A 14377-nucleotide genomic window follows, 5' to 3' on the forward strand; every position below is an offset into this window, starting at 1 on the left:
CGCTACCCATTCAGAAGGCATTGCTCCTTTCCCCATTCCTCCTTGCTTAAAAATATTTAGTCAGGATTCATCTTCCAGCATAGGAAAGTATCCCCACTTCTTTCAAAGCACATGGCAGCTAATCATGGTAATCCTATTTGCCTGGCCAGGGACTGGTTTAGGGGAAGTCATATGACTCAGGTCTGACAGAGAAGATGTGAGGGGAATTCTACAGAGGGGACTTCTGGATAAGAGTTTCTCAGTCCAAAAACAATCAACCAAACAAAAGACGCTTAGAGAAAATGGGCTCTTCTCTCTCCAGCTGACACTTGCATATGACCATCAAAAATGTTGTATGTAGTTTTCTTAGGGCCATGAAAGAGCCAACCTAGAGGTCAAGCTAGCATGCTAAGTGTGACAGTGAAGAATGGTGGAAAGAATATGACTTGGTGATGCTGGTTTGAACACCGAATTAGTCCCCTTGGGAACACTCCATCATACATCCCATGTCAGGTAAGATACAGAACATGGTGGTACTTACTGTTGAGGCCATTGGGTTTAGATTTTCTGTTATTGGCAGCCAAGAAATCCTGACAAATAGAAGCATAGTTTGGGAACATTGAGAGATCATAAGACCAGGGTTTGGTTCTTTCTAAGGGTTGTTGATAATAGGAGAGGAAGAGAGTAAGACTGTTATTGATGTGCAGCTTTGGAAGATCATACCCATATTTGACAGAAAATTCCTTAAAGGAGTGAAGTCTTTCCTATTTCCATGGGTTGGATGAGTGTCTTCTGAGGACTCTACTCCTCAAATGTGGGCATGCATACCCTGGGGGACTCCCACAGGCATTGCGCTGAGGGTACCAGAAGCCCCAAATAGATGCCATACATTTCCAAGAGACCATTTTCTACTGAAATGTGGAAAAAAACTCAGAAATGCAACTTCATGAGTTGACTGTATGGATTTTCACTGCTTTTTTTCTCAGCGCCTGGAACAGTTCCTAACCCAGAATAGGGGCTCAAATATCTGTGGAATTTATAAATAAGTGGATTGAAATAAACAGGAATATGTTCTAGAATTACACAAGCATAGCATGAATTTTAAAAATCCAAACAGGTGAGCATACTAGGGTGTGTCTTTATATTTTCTACCATGAATAGCACTTGGTAAAATGTTTAAGGAGCTGTCTCTTAGGAATAGTCAAGCCAACTTTAATTTGAGCTTCACCATATATTGTTAGAACCATTTTCTAGTGCTGTTTCCTGGATCATGTTCCTATGCACATAGTCCCCAGATCTCAAGGCCAGCCACAGCTCTGAATGTGAGGAAATACCTGAGCAATTTCTTCTCGTGTCCTTTTCCATAATGCAAACCTGCATCTTTAGTCAAGTATAACTTGAAGGAAATAGGCTCTTGAAGGGCCCGGTTGGGTGGCCTTTGATAGTGCTATTTTTCTCATCTGATCAGGTCTCCCCTTGCTGACAGGATCCCTCCCTATCTTCCAAAGCCTGGCTGGAAGCCCTTTCAAGTTTTCCTCACTTCCCAAGCCAGAGTGAGCTAACTCTTATATCTCATAATCTGCATAATATGTTACCTATCACTGGGCATTAAACTATCAAACAATAGCACAGGACAAAGCCAGATGGAGCCCACATTCTTTTTCCCCAACAGGATATTCACTCTTAGAGGCAGGAGCTAGGTCCTTTGTTTTTTCATATTTCCTATTGTACTTATATCTCTGGTCGAGTCCTGACTGTGTCACTTTCCAGAATATTCACAGTTTTCTGAGCATCATTATAAAATATCTACTGTTCTAGTAGATTTATAAGGCTGTTATAAATATTAAAGAGATAAAAAGTGTGAAGAGGCTTTTATAATATCTAGTTTGCACTTAAAGATTACTCTACTGTTATTAGCATGTGGCAGGTGCCTAATTCTTGTTTGAGGATTTATCGAATGATGCATTCTCTGATTGCTGAGAGACCCAACTCTCTTGCCTTATTGAAATAGCAGGGCTCTACTGCATTTCAAACATGGGGTTTTATAACCCTGCTCTGAAATTGTTAGGGAGGAGAAACCAGTGGTTTTAGGGAGATGGAAACCCAGAGTGAAGCTGGGCCAGCCTCCACTCTCTTTGGTCACCAGCTCTTGGCTTGACAGGAGGCCCAGGACAAGAAGGAGATGAAGTACAGAGATGAAGTACAGAGTTGTCAGAGGCTGTTGGGGGCAGCAAGGCCTGTACCATGAGCAGTGTCCTCTGGAAGGTGAGATAGTTAGAATCTGGGCACCCAAGGACCTCATGGAGGGTCATACAGTGAAGAAGCCTGAGAACCATCAGCCCTCCAGAGGGAAGTGGCTGACACACAACAGCCAATTCCTTCACTCGGTCTTTGATGTTGGTCCTGTCTCACCATGAGTGTGCTACTGGAAGAATGGGGCAGGAGACCCACACTTATTATCACTCTGCTGGCCCCATGAGCATAAACAAAACTACTGAGATGTCAACAACCAAGTAAGTCATTGATTCTTTGCTCACTTCTCCAGCCTGAGTCCTGGGGCATTGGGGGTAACCCCCAACTTATTGTCCACTTCTGAAGTTCAGTCACAACACAAAGGCTACCTAGAACATGGGGGTGGTGATGGACTGGTGGAGCTGGGTGATTCTTCAAAGGCCATTGACAACACCCTCCTCATTACGAAGATGGGGAAACTGAGGCCCACAGAAGAGAAGGGACTTGTACAAATCACATGGCCCACTGATATTAAATTCAGACCTGATTCTTCCTCTTACATTCTTTCCAATCCTAAAAGTAGTTAGAAGCACACTTTCACTCTGGAAGACAGAAAATGGCCTCTGATCCCAAAAGTGAATTCTATATAACCAACCCAAGAAAAATAGAACATTTTAGTATGTATTTGGCCTGGATTCTAAAAGATCTTAGACCATGGAGGGACAGATAGTTTAATTATTACTGTCCTCCTGTCCTAAGCCCTTTGCAGCTTTTTTGTAACCCATCAAGTTTGTAAATCTACATATTTAATGCTCTTTTGTATAGCGTGGTTTTCACAAGAATGTGGGCAAGAAAGAAGTTCACAAGGAGCGTTTCATCAGTGCTGTGAAAAATGATAATAATATGGTTGACACTCTCTAGTGTGCCACAGCCTGCTCTAGGTCCACACATTAACTCATTCAATACTCACAACCATTCTAGCAATTCAGCTTGTAAATAAGGAAATTGAGGCATAGGGAGGATAAGTAATGAGCTCAGGATCACCCAGCTTGTAAGCAGGAGTGTTGGGATGTAGGTTTAGCAAGTCTGACTCCAGTGCCCAGGCTTTCAAGCTGGTTGCAGTGAGTGGTGCTTTAGAACAGCCAGCACTGTTATTTATTTATTTAATCAATCAATCATTGATTACAAACTCTGTCTCCCTTTCCCCAGGGGCTAGAGGTGGGAAAGGATCAGAAAGGCAGCGACTCTGCCAGGCAGGAAAGAGGCTCACGGGGTCCCTCCCCTCCCATCTAGCTGTGGTCATTAAAACCCCGTCTCTCCTTTAAGGAGGTAATTGTCTGCTCCTTCACCGCACTCTCAGAGGCTCACCTCCACATGCTGAGGTCAATACTGGATTGAGTTTTCATGTTCCCTTGGGGTAAAACTTGCAGACTCTCAGTTGTGCAATGAGAAATAGTCATTTGATCTTTCTCAACTCTATATGAATCTTATGAACTGGTCTGCAGAAACCACTCACATCACAAGAATAAAAAAGAGGGATCCCACTCTTCCGCCTCCTCCACAGAGGGAGGGTTAGAAGGCTGGAATAATTCATCAAGACCCCCGCCACAACCCCTTCCCTTCCACACCACCCCCACCACCACACACACCAGCGCTTCACTCTGCCGGAGAAATATTTGTGTTGCTTCTATGTGCCTTTGATCAATTTCGAAAGAAAGGATCAGCTTTGCTAGAGACTATGTTGTATTTTCTCTAAATCAGGGCAAATAACATTACTTCTCCAAATGTTGCTATTAGAGTAAGATTTATATTTACCTAGAGAGGCTTCTCCTGAGAGAGACGCAATGAGAAGTTTATGCTACAGACAGAATAATCTGCCATGCTGAAATGTGATTTGCTGCAGAAGGCTGTTTGGGGTTTGGATAAATGAGAAAGATAAATATGACTCCTGGTGGTTTTCAGTAATGTGATTATCACTGGGGAATAGATTCATTCTCTCTTTATCTCTGGCCAAAGCCAAAATATTCCAAAATAGAGGATTGGCTTGAGAAGGGTATGACATATGCCAATGACTGCACCTTTGTCTTTGTACATGTCCACGGTCACACATGCACTTTCCTGCACACACGTCTGCACATACATGCACATGTGTACACAGGGCATATACAGGCACATGTACACAGTGGCATTTGGACCTCAGCTTGGGCAGCCTGGTGGGCAGAGGAACAAGACATTCCCTGCCACAGTCATCTCTTCTCTACCACGAGGTAGAGCACATGAAGCCAGAGGAAATACCAGTTTACTGTCAGGAAAAAATTTTTCTCACAAGATAAAGCTACGAAACTCAGACAAAGTAAAAGTAAATTTGGCTACAAACCATCTAGGTGCTCATAGTTTCACTATCATGGTTTCAGGCTATGGAAAAAAAGTATTTGATGGACGTGGTTGGCTTTACATTACTCCTGTGTTTTGGAGCTCAGAGTCAGAACTGGAAAGAGGACCCAGGAGTTCTTGATTTAGGCTTGGCCTTTCATTTGTTTAACATTTATGAAGCTCTCACTTGTGTGCAAAGTTGTTCTGGGCCTCTGAAGAGGAACTAGACATAGCTCTGGCACAAGAAGTGTTGTTAGCATGACCCCTACATGACCAAACATAAGCTTGGAGAGTGAGACATCAAATGAGAAGCACATGGGAAAGCTGCTGGAAGGGAAGTGTCATCTCTGGTAGTCTTTGAGTTGGATGTAGTACCATGGAGGAGATATAAGATTTGAAAAGAAAGTGATGGAGGAGGAAGAATACTTCTGGCAGAGAGAACAGTATAATTAAAGGTAGGGGGAGAGAAAACTAAAGGATGTGTTTAGGCAATAATGAATAGGCTATTCTAGCACATGTGTGGATATAGAAGAGAAGAAGGCAGGTAGAAAACAAGGCATTTCCTTTTTAATTATTTTTTATTTTAATCATTTTTGGGGTACAAGTTGTTTTTGGTTACATGGATAAGTTCTTTGGTGGTGATTTCTGAGATTTTAGTGTTCCTGTCATCCAAGCAGTGTACACTGTACCTAATATGTAGTCTTTTTTTCCCTCACCCCCTATATCAGTCCATTTTCATACTGCTATAAAGATACTACCAGAGACTGGGTAATTTATAAACAAAAGAGGTTGAATTCACTCGTTTTGTATGGCTGGGGAGGCCTCAGTACACGTACAATCATGGTGGAAGGTGAAGGGGAAGAAGGCACCTTCTTCACAAAGCAGCAGGAGAGAGAGAGAGTATGCAGGGGAGACTGCCACTTTTAATCCATCAGATCTCATGATAATTCCCGCACTATCACAAGAACAGCCTGGGGAAAATTGCTTCCATGATCCAAACATCTCCCACCTCATCCCTCCCTCTGCATGTGTGGATTACAATTCAAGTTGAGATTTTGGTGGGGACACAGAGCCAAACCATATTACCCCCTTTCCAACCTTCCACCTTGAGTCTCCAAAGTCCATTATATTATTCTTATGCATTTGCATCCTCATAGCTTATCTCCCACTTATAAGTGAGAATGTACAATATTTGGTTTTCCATTCCTGAGTTACTTCACTTAGAATAATTGGCCTCTAGCTCCTTCAAGTTGCTGCAAAAGACCTTATTTTGTTCCTTTTTATGGCTCAGTAGTATTCCATGGTATATACATATACCACATTTTCTTTGTCTCCTTGTTGGTTGATGGGCACTTAGGTTGGTTCCATGTCTTTGTAATTGTGAATTGTGCTGCTGTAAATGTGTGTGCATGTGTCTTTTTCACACAATGATTTCTTTTCCTTTGGAAAAATACCCGGTAGTGGGATTGCTGGATAAAGTGCTCTACTTTTAATTCTGTAAAGAATCTCCATACTGTTTCCCATAGTGATTGTTAAAACATATTTTCCAAGTTCCATTTTCTCCTTGTCTTCAACCCTTTCCATGTTAGTCCAATGTGGTCATGCATCAGCTGCTGAGCTGAAACTCTTTGCAGGTGGCAATCACTCTCACTAAGTAAGGGTAGATAAGGGCTCTGTGCTCAGGACAAGGTAATAAGTAGAGGCTTCTGGAAGGTGTCTGGGGAGGAGATATGTCATCTATCTTCCTGCTTACTGCCTTGGCCCTTGCCTTTTCCTTAGCCTGAATTCTTTTTCTTTTTCCCATCACAATTTGTCTAAACCATACTCATACTCTAAGAGACAACTTAAATGCAAGTTTTACAGGAAATTTTTGCTTAATGTCCTTAGCCAGAAACAACCACTCCTTTTTCTGGAAACTTGAAATCTTGTGTTCCTGTTGGAGGTTGATGGGATTCTCCTATAAACAGTGGAAAACCCCAAATGATTAGCTGTGCCCACACTCCCAATTCCGTTTGGTCTCTGTGTGCCTATTCCTGTAAAAAGCTCTTATCATGGATCTTAAGTCAACTGCCAAACTTGGGCTTAATAAGCGTGAAATGTATTTTAAAAGAGAAGATTACAGGGTCAAACACTGTAGCTCTGAACTGTGAATCCGCTCTGTTGCAAATGTGGCCAACAGAGTGAGAGCGTGACTGTGTTATTCCAGCTCCTCTAATTAGGGATTTGGGAAGGAACCAATAGTTCCTAAAACTCTGAGTCCTTCACGGAGGATTTGAGAACAGGACACACCACCTGGAATACAGGAAGTCCTCAAGTCCCCTTATCAATGGAGCAGAAAGCAGAGCATCAAGAGCCCACTCTGGGCTCTTTCAACTTGTTCAAAACCAAACTCACTGCCTTCCTTTTCCCCAAACCGGGCTTCTTCTCTGGTGTCAGCCATTTCAGCCAACATTTATTCTACTACAGAGCTGTGCAACTCAGAAAATCTAGACAGCATCTTTGGCCTCTTCTCTGTTTCACTATTTCTTATCTATTATCAACTCTTGTGATTTTATGTACATCATTCAAATCCATCCCCTCCTTTCCACCTTTTCCTCCACCACCTTAACTAAGCAATTATCGTCTACTACCTGGATAATTGCAGCAGCCTCCTAACTCTTTATCCCCCATACTGTCTTGCCTTCCTCATGTCTGCTCCCTCCATTTCAGTTAGATTGATATTAGATCTACAGCTCAGTTTAAGTCACTGCCTAAAGCCATCTGGGACTTCCTGCTGTACTCAGCCAGGGTCCAATCACACAGGCATGGTAGGTCACGGCAAGGAATTGGAAACTATTTGACTTCTTCAGCTTCATCTTTCTTGACTTTCTCCTTGTCTCTCTCAACTCCAAGTGTTATGGCCTTTTTGGTCCAGGGTCTAAATATGGCATGGTCTTTCTTTCCTCTGGACATTTACAGATTGTACAGATTGCCTTTCCCTCTGCCTGGAAAGTACATCCTCCTCTCTTCACCCACTAAGTCATCCTTTAGTTTTCAGCTTAGTTGTCACTTTTTTAGAGAAGTCTTCCTTTATCCTACAAACTAGATCATGTCCTTCTCTTATAGGCTCTGAAGTACCCTCATGCTTCTTTTTTAGCAATCTTATGACACTTGATTAGATATTAGGGAATGACAAAAATCTATCTTTTCTACTAGACTGAAACTCTCAGTAACTTAAGGTACATAACTGATTTCTCATTATTATACTTCTCGGACATTGCACCGCTCCTGGCACCTAATAGGTATTCAGTGAACATTTACTATGAATGAATGAAGTAGTTGATAAATTAATAAACAGATGAACCCTGTACCTGTAAACAAGGACCAAAGACATGTGGTCCCTGGGAGAGAATTTCTTTGTGAAGCTACTAGTTGGGCTGCTCCCTGTTCTTATTTCCTTTTCTTTAGATCTTTTCAGGATAGCAGAATGTGACTACTGAAAAGAACATGCAAGGAGCATGTTCCAGTTTGGGGAGGGGACGTGGTCATCTTTTGGGAACAAACCCTTCCTTGGATATTAGGACCTGGATATCCTGTGGTCTCCTTCAGACTAACCTCTTGCCTCAGACAGTCTTCCCATATTTATATCAATAAACTCTGAGAGAGTGAGGTCAAGCTTTCATTGTTATGAGCTTCTAGATTTTGCATTAGAAGTAGCCTCCTAACTTGTCTTCATGGTTTCAGTTTTCCAAAATGCCAACCACCTAGACACTATTGTCATTTGCATTCTCCTCAAGCAGAATGTCACTTTCTTACACAAAACCCAGCAGTGCCCCTGTCCCTACAGGATGGAACCCAAGTGATGTGATGGAGGGCAAGTCAATCCCCATCTCTAGGTATCTTGTCCCTCAAATTGAAAATGATCTTCAAGATACTTCCCAGCTTCATTCCTATGACTCTAATCCCTGGGTGTGACCCTGAGAGCTCTTTCTGGCCTCATCTCACTTTTCGAAGCCAACTCTGATTTCTGCCACACACCCATTGATCTGGTGAGTCGGCTTGCTCTCCTGGTACTCCAGCTTCCCATGTTTCTCTCTCTCTAGCAGGACTGTCAAGACAATATTTAAATCTCAGCCCTCCCTTGGCATGTTCTCCCTTTAAAGGCTACCAAGCTTCTGCATTAGTTAGCATAGGCCAAGACATGCTGTAGTAACAAATCTGTCTCAAATTGCAATGGGTTAACACACAGTAAAAATAGATTTTTCCCATGATACATATCTAGTACAAGTCAGCAGGAAGCTTTCTCAAAGAAACTAAGGAGCCCAGGCTGACAAAGTCTTTACCATCTGGAATATTTCTGGGGAAAAAGAGCACTTAGAAAGTTCATATGTACTTCTCCTGTTTTGGTTCAAAAGTAGTATCAGTCACCTCCACTCACAGCTCACTGTCCAAAACTAATCACATGGCTCTGCCCAAATTCAAAGAAGTAAAGAGGCACACACAGCATCTGTGCAGTCCATGAGCAGTAAATGACTCTAACAAAGCAAGTCAAACATTAGTGCATATAAGATTCCCAGTAAAGGTCTGCTCATAGTGGCATATGGTGCCAATAGATTTTCTTTCTGTTCTGAATACATACAATATTTCATACCTGGAGATCTTATCAATACATGGAAGGCCAAACTTTGACCTTACTTTGATATTAGTTCTGTATTATGTTTGTCTTGTTTCCTTTAACAGGTGATAAATGCCCTTAAAACAGGGGCCTTTCCAATATTAATAGATAACTTCCCCAAGCAGCAAGGATAGAGGAAAAAACTCTGGGCATTGGTAGAGCTTTGTCTCTGGAAAGTCACATGCTCTTAGGCACATATTTTAACCTCTGTTGATAGGATAAAATTGAACCTCCAAACAAGGGCACAAGACTTCTTTAAATACCAGCCTAGTTACCTACTGTATGTGCAACTTTGGGAAACTAAACATTATCTCTTGAAGTCTCAGTTTTCTCATCTGCACAATGAAGGTAATACTGTCTCTACTTGGCATGGCTGTTGTGAAAGTAAATAATGTGTGCAAACTTCTTTGCACAGTGCTTTGCACAGGTTGAACACTCAATAGACGTTTCTTAGCTGCTGGTGGTGGTTCTCTGAACCCTGATTTCCTCAAGTGGGAAAAAGGCATAATAAATGATAAATCGTGCCACACCTATCCCTTGGTGTCATTTGGGACTAAATCAAAACAAGCAGAAGGTAAAAGCACATAGTAAACTATAAAGTGCCACAGAATATTAGGTGTTTTTATTATTATTAGACAATACAAATACAAAAGGAGCAAACATCTAATGCAAGATTAGGCACTGATTAGATGATTAGTGGATACGTGTTGAAGAGTTAAATATAATTGTTAAAACAAGAGGCTTTTCTAAGTACTTGGCACAAGATATATGCCCCCACCCTGACCCTCATGAATATTCTTATTTGCATTTCACGTGGCAAGTACTCAGCACACTTCCTGGTCCACCCAGTGATGTCTCTCCTAGTGGGTTGGAGATCTCTCCATGGCCTGGGAAGCTATGAAGCTCCCTCTCTCTTGTCCCCATTCATCTCTTCTTGTCTCCCTGTCCGGGTGGTAGTTGAACCAGTAGCTCTGCTGTTAGCTTGGTTGCATGAGTATCACTAGAGACAAACTATGAAAGGGGAAATGATCTGTTATTGCTCTGGCCCAACTCATTTTTCACTTGAACACAGGGCAGAGTGAAGCACATTGTTCTTTGATGTCTTTATTTTCCTGTCAATAAAAATCTTGTTAGCCACTTGGCTGAGAAGGGTTTAACATTGGCATGCTCATTTGGTCAATCCTGTCTCTCTTCCTTTGTTAACCCTGGTTGGGTGTGAAGACTTGAAGTGCTGAATCCTTCAAGATTAGAGTTCTTGGAGGCAGTGAACAGTCCAGGGCCAGTAATTCAGCTTGGAATCATGTTCTTTAACTCATTGGACAAGGATTTGCCACTTGTCTTATAAGGAACTCTGTGGAACTTAGAGAAGCATTGGAGGTGGCTGTAAATGATGAAATGGGAGGGGTGTGGGCAAGAGTGTGTTCTCTGGAGTCAGATTGCCCAGATGTGACACTTGACTGTCAACTTATGGCATTCTGTACCTATTGATGCTGCAGTCTCCCAGTTTCCTCAGATTTTTGAAATAATGACTATAAAGTCTTTGGCATAGTGCTTGCAAAGAAGTAAGCACGCAGTTTTAGCATAGCATTGATAATGATTATTCAAGGTTCACTGAAGATTATAAAGCACATACTGTGTGCCAGGAACTGTTTTTGAAGGCTTGAAATGCATCAGAGAACAAAACAAAATTCCTTTTCTCATGGAGCATACACAATGAGGATGATGATGGTGGTGGTGATGATGACATTGAAGATGGTCTCTGCCACCTGGGAGTGCAATGTCTGCTGAGGGAAATAAAGCAATTCCTCATGCTGCCATGGCCTTATCTTGTGGTGGTTGTGGCCCAACAAACTTATCCTACTGTACTGTGAGATCCTGGAAAGTACAAAGAATGCTCTGTTCATCTCTGAGTCTCTACTGCCTGGTTTTTGAGTTGTATTAATGGGTGTTTTATCTGAACTTTTCAACCTTATGATAGGGTACTGCCTATCATGGGTGAGGAATATGGCTCATGAAGGCCCCATTAAACTAGAGAAAATATGCTAGGGGTAGGGTAAGGCAGATCTCATTCATTTATTCACCCATTCATTCAGACATATTTCTTGAACACCCAGGAGGGGGCAGGAACTGTGTAAAGCACTATGAGGGACACTGAGATCCATGAGGTAGGGCTCCTGGTCACACTTTAGCAGAGCCAGGGAAACACATCAGTGGCCATTTCCCTAAGGTTATTATACAGCACCCATGCCTCCATTTCCAGTCTTCATCCCCTTTTACTGCAATGGAGACCCTCCCTTAGGGAGAAAGGGAGGAGCTGCTACTGATAGAAGTGTGTTTTGACAGAGAACCACCCGGCTGGAACACAGACCAAGGAAAACTGAGGGAAACTGTTCTGTCCTCCTCCACGTGACTACGAATACTGATAATGACAGTATTAGCAGCATCAATATTTCTAGAGATGAAACTCAGTTACACGAACAACTGACCTATAATTCAGTAAGAAATACTCCACCCCTGCATCAATACCTTCTACAGCAGATGCTTTGAGATTTTGTTATGAATGACAAATGAGTGTTGAGGTTGCAGTGATTCAAGGACTAGCTGGTCTACCCTTGGATGCTGTATTTGTATCACCACCAACTTCTGGTGTCATCTTGTCAGAGTCTTGCTGTTAAAAGTAGCATGAGGTCTCTGAGATATGGAGATGATCTCAGGAGTGATGAGTATGTGGGGAATAGGAGGAGGAGGGTGACACTGTGACTTTTATAGTGTTTTCTGTTCTGTAAACAGTTTTTATTTGTGGTTCCCCAAACAACCCAGTAATGTAGCAGGAGAGGTGTGTACCTCTTAACTTCAATTTTCTCATCTGTAAAAATGGGGCAATAGACTTGCCCAAGGTCTCAAAACTGGCGAGTGTCAGAGAGGAGCCAAAACCCCAAGTTTTGTGTGTTTTCCACAATGCCAACCAGGTTACTGGTTGTGACATAACCTTGAGTTGAGAAACTTCTGGATGAGTAGATGGTTTCTCTAGAACACTAGTTTCTCAGAATGTCAAAGGTATTATAAACACATACAAAGTTGTTTCTGTCAAATGAATCAGAGCACTGCTGGAATGAGAAAGTTAAACAGGATTCCCTACTGTGAGACTTCTCCGTGCCTTTCACAGGCTCACCTAAGTCACTCTTTGTGACTGTTCAAGACAGGGAGAGAGGATACAATGACTTCTTGAGAATGCAGGCATTCTTTTTTTGCATGCATCACTGATATTGTTTGGCTCTGTGTCCCCACCCAAATTTTATCTTGAATTGTAACAAACCCCACGTGTCATGGGAGGACCCCAGTGAGAGGTAAGTGAATTACAGGGGTATTTTTCCTGTGAAAACCTGTGGCCGTTCTCATGACAGTGAATAAGTCTCATGAGATCTGACGGTTTTATAAAGGGGAGTTCCCCTGCACATGCTCTCTTGCCTGCTGCCATGTAAGACATGACTTTGCTCTTCCTCCACCTTCTGCCATGATTGTGAGGCCTCCCCAGCCACATGGAACTGTGAGTCCATTAACCCTCTTTCCTTTATAAATTACCCAGTCTCAGGTATGTCTTTATTAGCAGCATGAGAACGGACTAATATGGACTACCTTGTAAGAACTTGTTTTCTTGGAAATACACTTGGGGAAACCTTGCTTTAATCTCTAGTTTTCTTTTTTAGTTCCCTCTAATAACCTCAGGAAGATGCCTCTCTGATCCAAAGAAGACTTGGGAGGATGGCAACCCAGTGATTAGCAGCAAGTTTGTTTTCAGCTAGAGCCATGGTCACACCCAGCCCTCAGTTCTTGCACAGGTCTGTCCGTCTAAGGCCTAACGTCCTAGTAGAGAGGGACCGACCTGCAGATAAGGAGGTTCTGCCACCACCCATCAGTGTGACCTTAGGCAAGTCATGTTCCTCTCTGGGGCTCAGATTCCTCTCCTGTAAAGAGAAGGGTTTGGATAAGAATAATTCCCAAGACCCATTCTATTAGTAGTCTCATAACATACAATTCCAATTTCTAGGTCAGTTGGTCCTCACATCATTAGTTGTCACACAGATGCATAAAATCCACCAAGCACCTTGTTAAGATGCATAGTCCTGTGTCCTAGCCACAGAGATTGCAATTTAGTAGATTTGGAGTGAGGCCTGGGGATCTGTATTTGTAACCATCATGCCAGAAGATTTTGTTGAGAAAGTCTGTTTACACCAATACCTGGAGAGATTTATTGAGACACAGTGAGGACTACAGGGAGTCCCCTGGACATATGACAGATTGGGGCACTCAGCCTTACACACCAGCTGATTGCAGGTGTATACATCCAGCCTATGGTCTGCCTCCTTGGGAAGATGGCCATTCTCTAACCCAAAGCTGCCTCTTAAGTGGGCTTTGTTCTCTTTTGATTCACCTGTAGTTGTTAATTATTCACTAACAGCCCTCTAGAGGGTTAGGGGAAGAATTGCTTTGTTTATTTAATAATCCATCACTTATTAGAAGGCATTAAGAAAACCCCATAGACTGTATCACACATTCAAGTGTGGACTCTGGAAATACCACCACAGTGGTGAAATCCATTTACCATCTGTTTACATGCTGTTTTGAAATGTTGGCTTTTAGAAAAGAAGTTGGGCTTTTTAGAAAAATTTTTCGCTAAACTGAGAGTTACATAATTCTAAGCTCTGTTTGGAGGCAAGCTGCCAAAAGTTTTGGTGGCTGAAAGAACAATTGTTTTCCAGTTTCACTTCAAACCAGAGATGGCTAAGGAACTTAAAAATTAAGATTTTTAAGTGAACATAAATTACTTTGGTAATCAAACGTAAGTTTTGTTTTGTTTTGCTTTGAAGTTTAGGGAGATGAAGTAGGACTAAGAATATGAGAATAATGACATCCTTTTCCCACAGGGCAAACTGGCAAAGGAAGCTCTGACTATGAAAAGCTCTTGGTGGAGGTTCCCACTCCTGACACCAAGATGGCTCTCCTAAGCCAGTTTTCACAGCTTCCAGAGGGAGAAGCAATACAAACAAGCAAAGGGTAGACAGGTCTATGCTTCTTAGTTTCTCGTGCTTATTTTCTAGATACTTGTCCTCCTGTTGTGCATCTATTTTTTACCTTGCC

At 42.2% G+C, this 14377-nt stretch overlaps 1 long non-coding RNA gene across 1 annotated transcript in view; it reads left to right on the forward strand.

The window, feature by feature from the left end:
- The window catches only part of LOC105378485 (uncharacterized), a 47984-nt gene that overhangs the window by 8364 nt on the left and 25243 nt on the right, over positions 1 to 14377 (forward strand). Inside the window, exon 4 of the long non-coding RNA XR_007062289.1 lies at positions 341 to 492. This is a non-coding gene — a long non-coding RNA (uncharacterized LOC105378485). The remainder of the gene's footprint in view (positions 1 to 340; positions 493 to 14377) is intronic.

This window comes from Homo sapiens, chromosome 10 (genome assembly GCF_000001405.40).
Source record: "Homo sapiens chromosome 10, GRCh38.p14 Primary Assembly".
NCBI lineage: Eukaryota > Metazoa > Chordata > Mammalia > Primates > Hominidae > Homo > Homo sapiens.